Genomic DNA, 17,945 nt, shown 5'->3' with positions numbered 1-17,945 from the left:
ATGTTAGGAATTCACACATTCACCTTAAGATCTACCCTTCATCTGGACGTGGTGGCTCATGCCTGTAATTCCAGCACTTTGGGAGGCTGAGGTAGGAGTATTGTTCGAGGCCAGGAGTTAGAGACCAGCCTGGGTAACAAAGCGAAACCCATGCTCTACAAAAAAAAAAATTTTAAAAAGATCTACCAGCCGGGTGCGGTGGCTCATGCCTGTAATCCCAGCACTTTGGGAGGCCGAGGTGGGCAGATCACGAGGTCAGGAGATCGAGACCATCCTGGCTAACACGGTGAAACCTCGGTCTCACTGAAAATACAAAAAATTAGCTGGGCGAGGTGGCGGGCGCCTGTAGTCCCAGCTACTAGAGAGGCTGAGGCAGGAGAATGGCGTGAACCCGGGAGGTGGAGCTTGCAGTGAGCCGAGATCATGCCACTGCACTCCAGCCTGGGCCACAGAGCGAGACTCCGTCTCAAAAAAAAAAAAAAAAAAGATCTACCCTTTGTATGGGGGGATCCAGCCCATTGGTGTGTAGTTGAAAATTAAATTTTGTTTATACCACTGAAGTGAGGGTCCCTGTCCCATAGTTCTGTGCTGATATCTGAGAAGGAGCAAGTGTGATATTTATTGAGGCAAACCATAAGTTACATATTTCAAAACAAATACCAATTGCATTGCATCATGACAGTTTCCAAGCTGTTAGCCTGCTTTCCTAAAAACGTTAATTTAACACAAGCACAGAACTGGCTTTTGCTCACGGGTTGTACTGTTGGTTGGCTGACTTGGCTTTGCAAAAATATTGGGGGAAATGAGGGCTGTTGCAGAGGAAGCATACTTGGCCATTTGTGAAGAGGGTACAAAGTGCATCAACCTCTCAAGGCCAGAAAGCGTGGACACAAGGATACCGAATACCTTCAAGGGAGGTTGATTAATTTTCCTAAAGGTAAAATGACCCAGTGCTTCTGCTTGGGTGGGATCCTTGAGTTTTCAGCCCTTCTGAAGCAGGAAAATAAGGTCTGGAGGCAGAAAACCTAAGGCCGTTCCACGCTTACTTCCTAGAACTAAATTGAAACAAAAACCCTAACTTTCCATGCCTAAATAACAAAAGGACCAGAGGCTACACCCTTTGCAAAACCCACTTTTTCTGCAGGGCCAATGGGAAGTTGAAAGTACCTGTGACTGGTACTTTTTGCAACCATTTGGACCTTTGCGTAGGAGTGTAACTTTGTAACTTCACCTCAGCCTCTGATTGATTGCTGTCTGCAACCAATCAAACTGATTGTGGGCCAAGTCTTACTTTGCATAGAAGTGCAACTTTGTAACTTCACATTCACCTCTGATTGGCTGTGAACCTTGTAACTTTATTTCAGCCTCTGATTGGTTGTGACAAGCAACCAATCAGAATGATTGCAGGCTACCACTTCATTTACATGAGGTGGACACCAAGTGGCCAGTGGGAAACCTCTAGGGGGTACTTGGACCTGAGAAGATTCTGTATCTGGGGCCTTGAATGCTGAAGCTACTGGACTCCTCCCGAGACTGGTTCATAATTTTGCAGCTGAAACTAACATCTACAAAGACCATCTATCTTGGGTGAACCTATTTTCTTGTAGCCAGCGTTAAATATTGGCTCAGTCTAAGGCCTCTCAGGAAGAGATAATATTCAGCCATAAAAAAGAATGAAATAATGCCATTTGCAGCAACATGGATGGAACTGCAGGTCATTACCTTAAGGGAAGTAAACCAGGCACAAAAAGAGAAGTATCACATGTTCTCACTTATATGTGGGAGCTTAAAAATGTGGACACATGGAAGCAGAGAGGGCAAAAATAGATAACATAGAATAGAAAGAGCAGAGGGAGGGGGGATGATGAAGAGAAGTGGGTGGAAGGGTGCAAACATACAGTAAGATAGAAGGAATAAATTCAATGTTTGATAGCAGAGTAGGATGAGTATACTTAACAAAAATGTACTTGGATGATGGATACCCTAATACCCTGACTTGACACTATGCATTAAATTCATGCAACTAAATTCCTCATGTATCCCATAAGTTTGTACAAATACAAATGTCTCACATCTGTAATCCAAGTTACTCAGGAGGCTGAGGCAGGAGGATTGCTTGGGCCCAGGAATTCAAGACCAGCTTGGGTAACATAGTGAAACCCTGTCTCTAGAAAAGAAACACAATTTTTTTGTTTGTTTTTGAGACAGAGTCTCGCTCCATTGCCCAGGCTGGAGGGCAATGGCACAATCATGGCTCACTGCAACCTCCACCTCCCAGGTTCGAGCAATTCTCCTGTCTCAGCCTCCCGAGTAACTGGGATTACAGGCACCCAATACCATGCCCAACTAATTTTTATATTTTTAGTAGAGACAGGGTTTCACCATGTTGGCCAGGCTAGTCTCAAACTCCTAACCTCAGGTGACCCGCCCACCTCGGCCTCCTAAAGTGCTGGGATTACAGGCATAAGTTGCCATGCCCAGCCAGAAAAACAATTTTTTAAGACTGTGCATTTCAATTTCGACGTCAAATGCATGTCCTAATTATCTTTAGTTACCTCTTGTAACCTCATTAAAGAGGTGTATTAGTCCATTTTCATGCTGCAGGTGAAGACATACCTGAGACTGGGAAGAAAAAGAGATTTAATTGGACTTACAGTTCCACGTGTTTGGGGAGGCCTCAGAATCATGGTGGGAGGCAAAAGGCACTTCTTACATGGCAGCCGCAAGAGAAAATGAGGAAGATGCAAAAGCAGAATCCCCTGATAAAACCACCAGATCTCATGAGACTTATTCACTACCACGAGAACAGTATGGGGGAAACCGCCCCCATGATTCAAATTATCTCCCACCGGGTACCTCCCACAACATGTGGGTATTATGGGAGTACAATTCAAGATGAGATTTGGGTGGGGACACAGAGCCAAACCACATCAATACGTATCACCAGTTATCTATAGTATTAGCTCATTATTATAACAAGAAATCAGAAGTTAGAGTGGTAAATCCTGATTTTTCAGATTCATACCTTCAAGTTATTTTCTAATTATTTCTACTTTACTTAAATTTGCTATTGACCTACCTACCACTTGATGTCTATAGTACAAATTGATTTTATCAATGAAACATAAGAATTTTGTCTTGTTGAAAATTGCTTTCTAGGTTCCAGGCTTCTCTGTTTTCCAGTTATCTCTCATTATCTCCAGTTCAGTAGTTACCTATGTGCCCCTTGTTATATAGAACTAACTCATTATGCTAACAAGAAATAAGAAGTTGGTTATAGGAAGAAGATGTTCTTCACTCTCTGGCTTTATCTGTTATTGACATGTTACAGGTGTGATGTTATTGAGTCACACAGATGTTATGTAACCTGCTCAAAGTCACCCACTGGGGAAATGTCCAGAGCTGGGATTTGTTTAACTATTTTCATGTGTGCAACCACTTATCTACAGGACTAACTGATTCCAACGATAAACAAAAATGCAGTGTTGAGGAGAATGGTTAACTTTCTGAGTTCAGCCACTTTTCTTCAGCATCCTGGTTTAAACTTGTTATTCTAGATATCCTCACTTATCCCTCGGTTACTAATGAGGGAGGTACCAGTAGATATCTATGGCACTAATTCGATATTCAAACAAGTGAAAGAAATTTTGAGATGAATGATACTTTTATTTCTGCTTATTTCTAGTTAACTAATTACAAAAGAATAATAATTATACCATAATTGCAAATGTCATTGGGCACATCCTCTCTGTTAGGAATAATACTCAGAGGATGGGTTCAAATCTCAGCTTTGGACATTTCCCAAGTGAGTGAATTTGAGCAGGATACTTAACACCTTGGTGACTCAATAACACCACCTGTAAAATGACGTATAATAGCACATCAATGTGTATATAGGTTTGTTAAGAGGATTACATGTGTTCATATAAACAAATCATTTAGATCATTGCCTAGAACACAGTAAGAACCAGGTAAGTGTGAGCTACCATTGGTATCATCTCAATTAATCTCCACAACTGCTCCATGAGGTAGATATTATTATCACCTCATTTTACAGATGAGAAAATTGAAGCACAGAGAGAAAAGGCAACTCATCAGGTGAGCTAGCTAGCAAATGTCAAGCAATGCCATCATGCAGATGCCAGCAGTCTGGCTCCAGGGTCCCTGCCCTCATAAATCTAGGACATCAAACCCATCATTTGTGCCTATGCTTATTGGGATGAGGCTCAATTCAGTACGTAGCATTTACAAGAAGTGAATCAATTTAACTAAAAATTTTAAAGTAAATACTACTTTGATTGGTGCTCTGGTAGGTAACACTCACCAAAGGGACACAGAAATGACTACTGAAATTTAGAAAGCACTGAAGCAAGTCATGGAAATCTCAGCTGTGAGACACCACACAACTCCAATTCTGACAGATATCCGAGTTGGGCTAATACACACCATGATTAAAACCATTGTAGGTCTCTCACATAGTAACTGATCCCAGGCGAAAATTCATCAAAGTGTGTCTGGCCATGAGAAGGGTGAGGTCTGCCGGACCCTGCAAGATCCAGCCTGAGGAGGAGACGTCTTGGTTAATGTCAGGGACAGTCTGTGGGTGAAATTCCTTGACAGCTTTTTCAGAGTGAATTGGTCAACCAACCATTCTGTAGCTGGCTTCCTATCTACCATCCAGGAATGGGAGAGAGGAGAGATTTATCTGTCAGGCAGAGTGGGCAAAGTGAGTGGGGGTCCCAGTTCTTTTTAGGGGCCTATGAAAATTGTTTAATTTATTAAATAGGCCTGATGACAGTGGTGGTTCTGAAGGCCAAAATTGGCTAAATAATCCCAATATTCAGGAAACCAACTCATTCCAAGGCCTGATTCTTATTTTTTATTTTGTTTTATGTTTTACAGCTAGGGTCTCAGTCTGTAGTTCAGGATGGAGTGCAGTGGTGTGATCATAGTGAGGCAGGAGAATAGGGTCTGGAAGCAGTGAACCTAATGCCGTTTCAGGCTGACATCCTAGAACTAAATTGAAAGGAAAGCCCTAACTTCCCACGCCTAAGTAACAAAAGCACCTGTGGCTACTCCCTTTGCAAACCCCCACCTTATCTGCTGGGCAGACGGGAAATTAAAAGTACCTCTGATTGGTTGCTTTTTGGAACCAATCAGACCTTTGCAGAGGAATGGAACTTTGTGACTTCACTTCAGCCTCTGATTGGTTGCTTTCCACAACCATTTAGACTGATTGCCAGTCATCACTTCATTTACCTAAGGTGAACACCTAGTAGCCAATGGGAAACTTCTAGGGGGTATTTGGACCCGAGAAGATTCTGTATCGGGGCCCTTGAGTGGCTGCTCAGGCCTGCTCCCACCCTGTGGAGTGAACTTTCGTTTTCCATAAATCTCTGCTTTTGTTGCTTCATTGTTTCCTTGCGAGTTTTGTCCAATTCTTTGTTCAAAACGCCAACAAACTGAACAGCCTCCGCTGGTAAAAATAGCTCACTACAGTCTCCAACGCTTAGGTTCAAGCGATTTTCCCGCTTCAGCTAGGTGAGTAGCTTAGACTTCAGGTGCGTGCCACCACGTCCCGCTATTTTTGTTTTTTATTTTTTGAGAGATGGGGGTCTTGCTGTGTTACTCAGGCTGGTCTCAAACTCCTGGGCTAAAGCGATCCTCCCGCCTCAGCCTCCTGGAGTAGCTAGGATTACAGGCACGCACCACCGGGCCCAGCATCATCCCGAGGAACCATTTTCTTTTTTAAGGTACAGGGTCTCTCTTTTTCTCCCAGGCTGGAGTGCAGTGGCAGGATTGCAGTGGGGCGACCATAGATCACTGTAACCCACAGCCTTCATCGTTCTGAGGCACACTTCTTGAAGGGAGAAACATAGAGCTCCCAATCTACCCTGCCTCTTTTTTATTTGACATTTATCAGTAGGGAGCAAGAGGTCTGAAAGATAATTCTAGACAAAGAGTAGGAAAGGGAAAGCAGGAGGAGGACGAGGAGGGTGGGTAAGAGAAGGTGATGACGAGCAAGGGAAGGCGGGAACTAAGCCAAGTCCACAGCGCCCGCCCAGCACACGAAACACTCCCGCTTCTGCAGAGGGCCTGCAACCTGAGGCTCTGGAGCAGAATATAGCTTAGCAGACATTTCATGCTCCGCAGTCGCGTCTAGAGCCAAAGGAAGATTCACTTGCAGTGTAACCCTTCTTAGATGCACTAAACACCGAACAGGGTTCTACGCTTGTACTCTGAGGTGGAGTAATTAGTTAGCAAGGGGCGTGTTAGGTTTCTTGCAGCTTGCATTTGAGCATCCGGAGCGGTCTGCCAAACCCAGGCCCAAACTCAGGGTTCCCCAGACCCCCTTGGAGAGCGTTGCGTGCTCAATTTTCTGGACGTTGCTGCAAAAACCTAGCATGCAGCCTCCGACCTCATCATTTCATCTTAATTACGGTCCGATTCGAGGACTTTGAGTGCGAACGGAACACAACCAGAGAGTCTCATGCATTAGTCACCAACTAGTCAGAGGGCAGCGTGGTGCCAGGAACCCACGCCGCAAGGTGCACTGCCTTCAGCTTGCAGCGCCTTCGCCCTGGAGAAGCATTCTGCAAGCCCGCGTGCCTGGAGGGCTGGACAGAGACATGTTCTGTTAACTTTCTCTATTGGGTCTAGCTCCTCCGCCCCTTCCCCTGCCCCAATCTGTTGGCGCCAGGCAGCTTGGCCCCTTCCTCCTGGCAGTCACCCCACCCGGGTTGGGAGTGGTCAACCAAGCCGCAAACTGGAGCGCGGGTTCCCTGCACGCCCGACCCCCTCCCCGCGCCCTGACCAGGAGCTCGCCCCTGACTTTACCGCCACCTTCCTGCCGTGAGCGCGTGCCAGCAGGACCTTCCGTCCGCCACACACACACACACACACACACACACACACACACACACACACACATACCCCGCCAGCGGAGGCGACCAGGGCAGCAGCCGGCTCCCCGCCACGTGCAGGCGTTGGACCCGAAGTCCACGCGCTGGAACTCGAACCAGGAGCTAGAGGACCCCAGCGCAGAATCCGCGGAGGCGCAGGGCTTCATCCACCGCGCTCTCAGATCGCGTCCCAGCCCAGATCTAGCCACGAAGACACCGGCTACCTCTGCCTGGGCTTCGTGTTCCATGAGCTCCAGGAAGGCGACGGTCAGTGCCTGGCTGGGGACCCGGACCGGTGATTTGTTCAACTCTAGGAAAGGAACTTTCCCGGAGAGAGGCGCGTGGGCGGGAAGCTGCTGTGCCACCTTTCTCAGGCCGCGAGTCTAGGCTGCCCTGTGCGCCTCTCTCTCTCTCTCTCTCTCTCTCTCTCTCTCTCTCTCTCTCTCTCTCTCTCTCCCTCCCTCCCTCCCTCCCTCCCTTCCTTTCCCTCTCCTCCTTTCCAGATGCGAAGGCTATAGGGCTATAGGGCCTTCGGTGATTGAAGTGGGAGGAGAGGATAAGAAGAAGAGTCCGAACCCGAGCAGGGAGCAGAAGCAGAAGAAAGTCACGTCTGCGCGGGAGCTGCGGACCCCATGTTCGACGAGAACCAGAAGGGCGGCGGTGGATACCAGGAGCCCTGGCAGCAGCAGCCTGAGGAGTCCGCCCAGGACTCTTCTTCCTCGGAGCTGCAGCCAGAAGATCAGCAGCATCTCTTCTCCCCCAGTGCATTCAGTGGGTTGCACCTGAAGGAGCTAGACAGCATTTTCCGATGCTCTCAGTATCCCGACGTGTTTGCTAGGTAAGCGGCTTGCTCTAGAGGTGCGCAATTATCCAGGACGCTAGGGCTCTTCCCGGGACGCCTTTGGCCCTGCCCCAGTCTCGCTCCCTCCCCTCCAGAGTCAAAAGCTACATATGGGGCTCAAGGCCACTGGAGTAGGTCACTCTTGAGCTGTGGGGTGGGGGCGATGCCTACTGGGCATTAAGGTATTTTTTCACGCATTATAGAAACGAATCAAGCCAGGAAACTTTGGCCAGACTCCTGTTTTGGAAATGTTTTGTTGGAATTGCGATGGACATCAGGGTGAGGAGAGTGAGTCCTACACGGTTGGATCTTGCCTTTATTGAACATTTTAACAATTTGGTTACTGTGGATTTTTTTCATTGGTCTTGATTTTTAAAATAATGCCTTAACATTTGTTAATCTTCGGGCTGGTTCGGTGGCTCATGCCTGTAATCCTAGCACTCTGGGAGGCCAAGGCGGGAGGATCATTTGAGTCCAGGCGTTCAAGACCAGCCTGAGCAATATAATGATACTCTGTCGCTACGTAAAAATTTAAAAAATTAGGGCGGGCGCGGTGGCTCAAGCCTGTAATCCCAGCACTTTGGGAGGCCGAGGCGGGCGGATCACAAGGTCAGGAGATCGAGACCATCCTGGCTAACACGGTGAAACCCCGTCTCTACTAAAAATATTTTAAAAAATTAGCCGGGCGTGGTGGCGGGCGCCTGTAGTCCCAGCCGCTCGGGAGGCTGAGGCAGGAGAATGGCGTGAACCTGGGAGGCGGAGCTTACAGTGAGCTGAGATAGCGCCACTGCACTCCAGCCTGGGCGACAGAGCAAGACTCCGTCTCAAAAAATTAATTAATTAATTAATTAAAAATTTAAAAAATTAGACCGGCATGGTGGCACACACCTGTAGTCTCAGCTACTCCGTAGGATCGCTTGAGCCCAGGTGTTCGTGGGTTCAGTGAACCATGATTGTGTCACCCCTCCTCCAGCCTGGTCAACAGAGCTAGACCCTATCTCTAAAATTAAATAGATAGATGGACAGTTAAATAGAAAGAGATATCTTGAATCCTGAGTGTTTTAGTGCTCTTTTAAATTCTGCACACCAAGGACAGCCATCCCTAATGCAAGCCTGGGGCTAGGTATCACAGAAAAATATGCTGGAGCGGTTGAGAGGATAGACATTTTCAAACCGGTATGAAACGTTCATCAGTGTATTTCATTTCATCCACAATTCTGAAAAAGTTTAAATACTGAACGTTTGTGGTTTTCTGCCCCAGAAAGGAGCTTACAATATGCATGGATGTAAGTGAAGTCGAAGTGGAAGCCAGTAAGCCTGATGAAAGCAACTGGTCAGAGTAGCCACTCTGAAACCTGCTTCAGTCCTTTGATACCTTTGTCCTACACATTCTCAAGTTGGCCTATTTTTGTTGCCTTTTCTATGTTTGCAAAGTGAGTTCTGAACTTTAGAGGGTGAAAAATGGGATAAGGAAACCCCAGCTTATGGAAATTACACATTACCAGAGGGAATATGCTTTCTAATGGAAAAATAAAACTATACATACCAAACTGCTACTTCTATTTCCTGTACAAAATTAAGAATAAACAAAGTTCGGTTCCTTCTAACAATAGTATCCTTTAGAGACTACTTCTGTGTGGAGGTATCTTGGGACTGAGTCTGACTTAGAAGTATGCAAATTAATGCACCAAAGAGCTACGATGTGAGAAGCTTCAACTGTATTTAAAATATTTAAACCAAGTTAGGTTCTTAGCTCAGTGAGTGAGTTTATAAATATTCGGGCATTGGGTTAAGGGACTAAGTCACACACACAGACAACACACTATATGAGTAATTAAGTACGTTTAGTTTCACTGAGACTGATGGGGAGGAGATAGCTTAAAAGTCCAAGTGCCTGGTGGTCCTGCTATTTTTTCGAAGTGTCTGATGAAGACATGTAGAAAGTGGCTACCTGAAATTGTAATTTTCTGGAATACTTCGATGTGTCAGCCTGAAAACACTGCTAATATACGCACATTACAGTGGGGGGCGGGGGGAGACAGGTTTGCAAACTGGAAATTTGCCTAAAAATTGGAACAAACAAGAACAATTTTGAATAAGGTTCCAGTCACCTAAGAAGGGTGAAAAGGTTAAAGAAGAATGGCATACACTTACATATATACCTTGAAGAAATGGCACAAATTGAACTTTATGAGTGAATATTCTCTTGAGGAATTTCTAACAACTAAGGAATTATTTTGATGGGACTGTCTAAAGAGGTGGGTTTTATGAAATTTGTTTGGTGATGGGGAGCACGCTCAATTTAAACCAGATTCTTACCTGTGCTTATTTGAAATACGTTTTCATTTTCCCAGGCAGTGATGATTAATTTGTAGGTCATGGGATCAAAAGATTTCTAAGATTACTTAAGTTTTATTAAGAGAGAATTTTCCAAAACGAAAACAAAATCCAGGATGAGGTTATGAGCCTCGCTCTGCAGTTTGTGTGAGGGCAGTGATGGAAAGGAGCTGCAGAGCTGGTGCGGGTGACTTTTAGTGAATTTAGAACTAGTTTGGCCCTTTTTTTCAGACAGAATAGGGACCCATCAATGTTAATAGGGACATCCATGCCCAACTCCGGACTCTAGGGGAAGCTTCCTAAGCGGCTACTCAGTATTTATGGGAAGGCAACAGCTAAGCATTGATTCGACATGCTCCAAATTCTGTCCACCGCCCTCCCTTTTTGTGGGGGACACAGGGGAATAGGAGTCATTCTGGCCCAAAGGTCCTGCTGCTTCAGAAGAATCATGAGATGAGACTCCACCAAAGCCAGAATGAAGCTGTTCTCCCTTTTCTCCCCCATCCCCAGCCCAGAAGGCATATTATTGCACCTTCCCCAATTCAAAACGGACAATCACACTGTCCAATGTATTTTGTTGCTCTCTTCATCCTTAAGAGATCTCGAATTCCTGCTAATTAAAAATAGAAAGGGCATCTTTGGGGTTATTGGCACTGGAATCAAGGAGATGGTCCCCTGAGCAGTAATCTAGACTCATCATTCACTGGAATAGGCAGTCATTTGATCATGGTGTCTTCTTCCTGTGCAACTACCAGAGTAGAAAACAACAAAAACAAAAATGGGAGGGTGAAGGAAGCCAGGCCCATTTTTAAAGAAACATTAAGTTCTTCTCAATACAGCCTTTGCTTATGAGCAATCTCTAGCAATGCAAGACTTCTCGTTGGCTATTAAAAGTGGTTAATTGTGAGCACCAAGGCTGCACTATGAAGTGATTACTAAGATAAGTGCCACAGTTCCATCAGAATTTCCTCTCGCAGGGGTTAAATCAAAGTCCAGTTTCACAGCACGTATGTGTTCCCAGTGTAAAGCGAGGCTCTGTTTTCTTAGGAAAGCATGCATTTTTTGCTATGTTGTCCACTATCTCACTCTGCGAACTTCACAGTTGTGGATATGAAATGTCAGCAAAGCAGTTGCATGTAATGTGGGACTTCTGCACAGAGAGGAGATTATTGATACCCAGAGCCCCCAGCGCCTGGCTGAATTGGGGAACATCTAGGAATGCGCCTGTGTATGCCCACTGCCATCCTCACCAGATAATTTTGAAACCAACATTTCCTTTTTTTTTTTTTTTGAGTCGGAGTCTCACTCTGTCACCCAGGCGGGAGTGCAGTGGTGCGATCTGGGCTCACTGCAGGCTCCGCCTCCCGGGTTCACACCATTCTCCTGCCTCAGCCTCCCGTGTAACTGGGACTACAGGCGCCCGCCACCAAGCCCGGCTATTTTTTTTGTATTTTTAGTAGAGACGGGATTTCACCTTGTTAGCCAGGATGGTCTCGATCTCCTGACCTCATGATCCGCCTGCCTCAGCCTCCCAAAGTGCTGGGATTACAGGCGTGAGCCACCACACCTGGCCAGAAACCAACATTTCTTATTTCCCAAGGTGGCACCTGTTCTTTTTAAACATCAGCTTCCTCAATGCTGTAGGTACCCTCTAAACAGAACTACAGAATCTATAGAAATAAAAGCCACAGGACACCATCAGACCGAGTTCTGACCTCTTCTAGCCTTTGTCCCAGTTGAGCACATGGTTTTGCCATATTGCAATTGGAAGCCAAAGAAATACTCCACACAAATCATGCAGTAAACACTAACATTCAATTTGACACACACTAACAGAACATTTTTTTCATGCTCAGGAAAAGAATAGTGAATACCATTTCCCATAAGTGATGGAGTCTTCAAGAGACATGTATTTACTTGTTTGTCTGTTTTGTTTTTGTTTTTGACTCAGGGTCTCACTCCGTCGTCCAGGCTGGAGTGCAGTGGCCCGGTCTCACCTCACTGCAACTTCCACTTCCTAGGCTCAAGGGATCCTCCCACCTCAGCCTCCCCTGTAGCTGGGACTACAGGCATGCACCACCATGCCCAGCTGATTTTTGTACTTTTAGTGGAGCTGTGGTTTCACCATGTTGCCCAGGCTTGTCTCAAACTCCTGGGCTCATGCAATCCACCCCCCGGCATCGCTTGAACGGAGCCACGGCAACTCACCGACATATGTACTATTTTTAATGTCTCTCTAGTTCTTCAAAGTTCCAGAAGAACTAAGGCGTGGGGCAGAGGAAATAGTAAAAAATAATGCTTTAGATAATAGTTTCCACTCAATCTAAATTTCAAAACAGAGAGTTCTTTTAAAAGTAATCCCACAAAACGCATGTATTTTAAAATGTACTTCAAATATTGCAAAGGCAACAACCAGGCCAGGTGTGATCGCCCAGGCCTGTAATCCCGGCACTTCTGGAAACCGAGGTGAGAGGATTGTTTGAGCTCAGGAGTTCAAAACCAGTCTGGGCAACATATTCAGATCTCATCTCTCAAAAGGGATTTTAAAAACATATTAAAAAAGGAAAAAAGGCAAAGACGAGAAATTAACTGTTCTAATACAAGTTTAAAATTTTTATTTATTAAAAAATATTTAACACTGGTTACCAGAAAATAGGTTCACCCAAGATAGATGGTCTTCACAGATGTTAGTTTCAGCTGAAAAGTTATGAACACAATCTCGGGAAGAGTCCAGGAGCTTCTGCATTCTATAGTAATCAAAAAAATTGGGGGTTTTGCTTTCTAAAGTTTCTTTTTTGTTGTGGTTTTTGAGACGGAGTCTCACTCTGTCACCCAGGCTGGAGTGCAATGGCCGGATCTTTACACACTGCAACCCCGTTTGAAAAGCCCATCTTCAGTCTGAAGTAACTACATCAATAGGAGCAGGCTGGATCTTTAATCAGGTTTCGTAAAGGATGCCTAAGGGGCCATTCATCCTCTGAAATTTTTTTTTTTTTTTTTTTTTTTTTGAGACAGGGTCTTGCTCTGTCACCCAGATTTAGAGTGCAGTGGCACGATCTTGGCTCACTGCAACCTCTGCCTGTCAGGTTCAAGCGATCCACCTGCCTCATGCTACACCTAGTAGGTGGGACTACAGTGGTGCGCTACCAAGTCCAGGTAATTTTTGTATTTTCACCATGGGGTTTCACCATGTTGGCCAGGCTGGTCTCGAACTCCTGACCTCGCGTGATCTGCCTGCCTTGGCCTCCCAAATTGCTGGGATTACAGGCGTGAGCCACTGGGCCAGACTTCATCCTCTGAAAACTCTTGAGAGTGAAAAAGATGGTCTGAAAAAAAAGGCTTAGTCATGGGGGGCCCATCACTGCACTCACATGAACTGCACAGCACTGCTCATAACCTAATCCTGGATTTTCTCTTTGTTTTGAAAATATACTCAGTCAATAATACTGAAGGAATCTTAGTAATTTCTTGATCTCATGACTTACAAATTAATCACCACTGCCTGGGAAAATGAAAAACCATTTCAAATTAGCACAGGTAAGAACCTGGTCTAAATTGAGCGTGCCCCACCCCACCACCAAACAAATTACATAAAACCCACCAGTTTAAAACAGTAACATAAAAAAAACTTCTTAGTTGTCAGAAATTCCTAAAGAGAATATTCCCTCATAGAGCTCCATTTGTGCCATACCTTCAAGGTATATATTTGAGTGTATGCAATTTTTCTTTAACCTTTTCACCCTTCTTAGTTAAGTGAAAACTTTTTCAAAATTGTTCTTTTTTATTCCAATTTTTAAACAAATTTCCTGTTTGCAAACCTGCCCCCCCACACCCCCAGTGTAATGCAAGTATATTAGCAGTGTATTCCGGCTTACAAATAAAAGTATTGGAGAAAATCAAAATTGCGGGCTGCCACTTTCTACATGGCTTCATCAGACCCTTAAAAACAACAGCAGGACTACCAGGCACTTGGACTTTTAAGCTATGTCCTCCCCATAAGTCTCAGTGAAACTAAACATACATTAATTACTCATATAATGTGTTCTTTCTGTATGTAACTTATTCCCTTATCCCAATGCCTGAATATTTATAAATTTGGTCATTTAGCTAAGAACATAGCCTGGTTTAAATATTTTAAATACAGTTGAACCTTCTCACAATATGGGTCCTTGGTGCATTAATTTGCAAACTCCTCAAGTCAGACTCAGTCCCAACATAACTCCACACAGAAGTGTTCTCTAAAGGATACCATTGTTAGAAGGAATGGAACTTTATTTACACTTAACCTTGTACAGGAAATAGAAGTAACAGTTTAGTTCTGTTTCGCATTAGAAAGCATATTCCCTCTGGTAATGGGAAATTTCCATAGGCTAAGGTTTATGTATCCCATTATTCCCCCGCTAAAGTTCAAAACTCACTTGGCAAACATAGAAAAGGCAACAAAAACAGGCCAATTGGAGAATGTGTAGGACAAAGGTATTCAAGGACTGAGGCAGGTTTCAGAGAGTGGCTACTCTGACCAATTGCTTTCATCAGGCTTACTGGCTTCCACTTCGGCTTCACTCACATCCATGCAGATTGCAAGCTGCTTTCTGGGAAAGAAAACTACAAAAATTCAGTATTTGGAATTGTGGATGAAACGAAATACACCTATGAACATTTCATACCAGTTTGAAAATGTCTAGCCTCCCAACTGCTCCTGCACATTTTTCTGTGATACCTAAAAATAGCCCCAGGCTTGCATTAGGTAGGGGATTGTTTTCCTTTGTGTGCAGAATTTCAGAGAGGGCTAAAACACTTAGGATTCAAGATTTTTCTATCTCTATCTATCTGTCATCTATTCATGTAATTTATCTATGTATCTAATTTTAGAGACAGGGTCTAGCTCTGTAGCACAGGCTGGAAGGCAGTGGCCGGATCACAGTTCACTGAAGCCTTGAACTCTGGGCTCAAGCGATCCTCCAGAGCACCTTGGATTACGGGTGCGTGCTGCTAATATGCCCAGCTAATTTTACAAAATTTTTTGTAGAGATGAAGTCTCAGTATATTGGTCAGCCTGGCCCTGAACGCCTGGACTCAAGTGATCCTCCTGACTTGCCCTCCCAGAGCGCTCGGATTACAGGCATGAGCCACAGCACCAGCCCGAAGATTAATAATTTTAATGCAAATATTTAACTTGATTCGTATCTATACTGCTTGAAAAATACCTTGATGCCCAGTTGCTATCGCCCGCATCCCACAGCTCAAGAGCGGCCCTGAGCCAGTGGCCTTGAGCCCCCTAAATAGCTCTTGGCACTGGAGCCTGGTAAAGAGACATGGGTAGAGCCAAAGGCGTCCAGGGAAGAGCCCCAGAGTCCTGGGAACTGGGAAGCTCCAGAGCAAGCCGCTTACCGAGCGAACACGTCGAGATATTCAGAGCGTGGGAAAATGCTGTCTAGCTCCTTCAGGTGCAACCTGCTGAACGCACTGGGGCTGAAGAGACGCCGCTAATATTGGGGTTGTGGCTCCTCCGCGGAGGAGTCCTGGGCTGGAAGCCTCAGGCTGCTGCTGCGAGGGCTCCTGGTCGCCACCGCCGCGCTTCTGGTTATCCTTGATCGTGGGGTCGGCAGCTCCCGCACAGAAGTGACTTTCTTCTTCTGCTCCAGCTCCCTGCTCGGGTTTGGACCGTATTTTCTTCTCCTCGTCTCCTCCAGCTTCAGTCACCAAAGTCCCTACAGCCTTCGCATCTGGAAAGGAGGAAAGGCAAAGAGAGATTGAGAGAGGAGACAGAGAGAGATCAGGGCGTTTGGCGCGGGCACAGGGCAGCATAGAACCGCGGCCTGAGAGAGGAGGCGCAGCAGCGTCCGGTCCACGCCCCCCTCTCCGGGAAAGTTCCCTTCTCGGGAGAGTTCCCCAAACTCTCTCCCTCCGGGGGAGTTCCCCAAAGCACCGGTCCGGGTCCCCAGACAAGCACTGACTGTCGCCTTCCTGGAGCTCATGGAACAGGAAACCCAGGCCGGGGTTGCCTGTGTCTTCGTGGCCGGATCTGGGCTGGGACCCCATCTGGGAGCGCGGTGGATGAAGCCGTGCGCCTCCACGGATTCTGCGCTGGGGTCCTTCGGCTCCTGCTCTGAGTTCCGGCTCGTGGACTTCGGGTCCGACGCCTGCAGGTGGCGGGGAGTGGGCTCCTGCCCTGGTCGCCGCTGCTTGCGGTGTGTGTGTGTGTGTGTGTGGCGGAAGGCCCTGCTGGCAGGCGCTCACGGCCCGAGTGTGGCGGTTAAGTCAGGGATGCGTTCGTGGTCAGGGCGCGGGGAGGGGTCGGACGTGTGTGGGGACTTGCGATCCATTTTGCAGCTTCGTTGACCACTCCCACTCCGGGCGGGGTGACTGCCAGAGGGAGGGGCTGAGCTGTCTGGCAGGAGTCGAAATTGAGGCAGGGGGAGAGGCAGCGGAGCGAGACACAATCTAGCCCCCGAGCCCTTGGAGAAAGTTTGCAGAACACGTTTCCGTGTGGCCCTGGAGGCAGGCGGGCCAGCGTAATGCTTCTCCAGGGCGAAGACGCCGCACGCTGAAGGCAGCGCACCTTGCAATTTGGACTGCCAGCACTGCTCTCCCCTCTGGGTAGTTAGTAACTAATGGATGAGTCTCTCTAGCTCTGGTCTGTTCCCACCCAAAGTCCGCGAATCGGACCGTAATTAAGATGAAATGATGAAGTCAGAGGCTGCATGCTAGGTTTTTGCAGCAATGTCCAGAAAGTTGAGTGCGCCACGCTCTCCAGGAGATCTGTGGAAGCAGAAGTTTGGGGCTGGGATTTGCAGAGCACTCTGGATGCTCAGGTGCAAGTTGCAAGAAACCTAACACGCCCCTTGCAAAAGCTCCAGGTACTCCACGTCAGAGTACACATAGAACCCTGCCTGGTGTTTAGTGCATCCCAGAAGGCTTACACTGCAAGTGGCCCTTCCTTTGGCGCTAGACGCGACTGTGGAGCATGCAATGTCTGCTAAGCTATGCTGGGCTCTGGCGCCTTAGGTTGCAAGCCCTCTGCAGAAGTGCCAGTGTTCACTGTGCTGGGCAGGCGCTGGGGACTTGGGTTAGCTCCCGTCTTCCCTCCATCCTCACCCACTTCTGTTACCCATCCTCCTCCTCCTGCTTCTCATTTCCTACTCTTTGTCTAGAACTATCATTCTGACCTTTTGCTCCCTACTGATAAATGTCAAATAAAAAAGAGCCAGGGCCGATTGGGACCTCTATGTTTTTCCCTTAAGAAGTGTGCCTCAGGACGATGCAGGATGTGGGTTATAGTGAACTATGATAACGCCACTGCACTCCAGCCACTGCACTCCAGCCTGGGCGACAGAGCGAGACCCTGTATTTCAAAACAAAAAAATTTAAAAATCGTGCCCCCGTACGATTCTGGGCTCGGTTGTGCGCGCCTGTAAATACTAGCTCCTCCTGTGGCTTCGGCGGGAGAATCGCTTGAGACCAGGAGTTTGAGACCAACCTGAGCAAAATAGAAAAAAACCCATCTCTAAAAAAATAAAAAACAAAATAGTTGGGCATGGTGTCATGCGCTGTCGTGCAAGCTATTCAGGAGGCTGAGGTGGGGGGATCGCTTAACCCCAGGCATTGGAGGCTGCAGTGAGCTATGATCACACCACTGCACTCCAGCGTGGGTGACTCAATGAAACCCTGGCTCTAAAAAAATAAATAAATAAAAATTAATTAATTAATTAATTAATTAAAAATAAGAATTGTTCCTTGGAATGAGTTGGTTTCCTGAATATTGGGATTATTTATCCTTTTTTTTTTTTTTGCCATGATAAACACCATTGCCATCAGACCCATTTAATAAAATAAACCATTTTCATAGGCCCATAAAGGTACAC

General features: G+C 46.3%; 2 pseudogenes, besides 1 other annotated feature; one reads left to right on the top strand and one right to left on the bottom strand.

The window, feature by feature from the left end:
* Positions 6,225-6,743: an enhancer, noted in NCBI's record as "H3K27ac-H3K4me1 hESC enhancer chrX:119134387-119134905 (GRCh37/hg19 assembly coordinates)". NCBI's record gives its function as "activates a minimal SCP1, AML or CMV promoter by ChIP-STARR-seq in primed H9 embryonic stem cells {active_cell/tissue: H9 hESC(primed)}" and the evidence as "EXISTENCE:reporter gene assay evidence [ECO:0000049][PMID:30033119]".
* RHOXF1P2 (Rhox homeobox family member 1 pseudogene 2) lies at positions 7,450-9,050 on the top strand (annotated as a pseudogene).
* Positions 14,630-15,780, bottom strand: RHOXF1P3 (Rhox homeobox family member 1 pseudogene 3; annotated as a pseudogene).

This window comes from Homo sapiens, chromosome X (assembly GCF_000001405.40).
Source record: "Homo sapiens chromosome X, GRCh38.p14 Primary Assembly".
NCBI lineage: Eukaryota > Metazoa > Chordata > Mammalia > Primates > Hominidae > Homo > Homo sapiens.
Note: the sequence above shows the minus strand (reverse complement) of the source record. Positions and strands in the feature narration are given on the sequence as shown.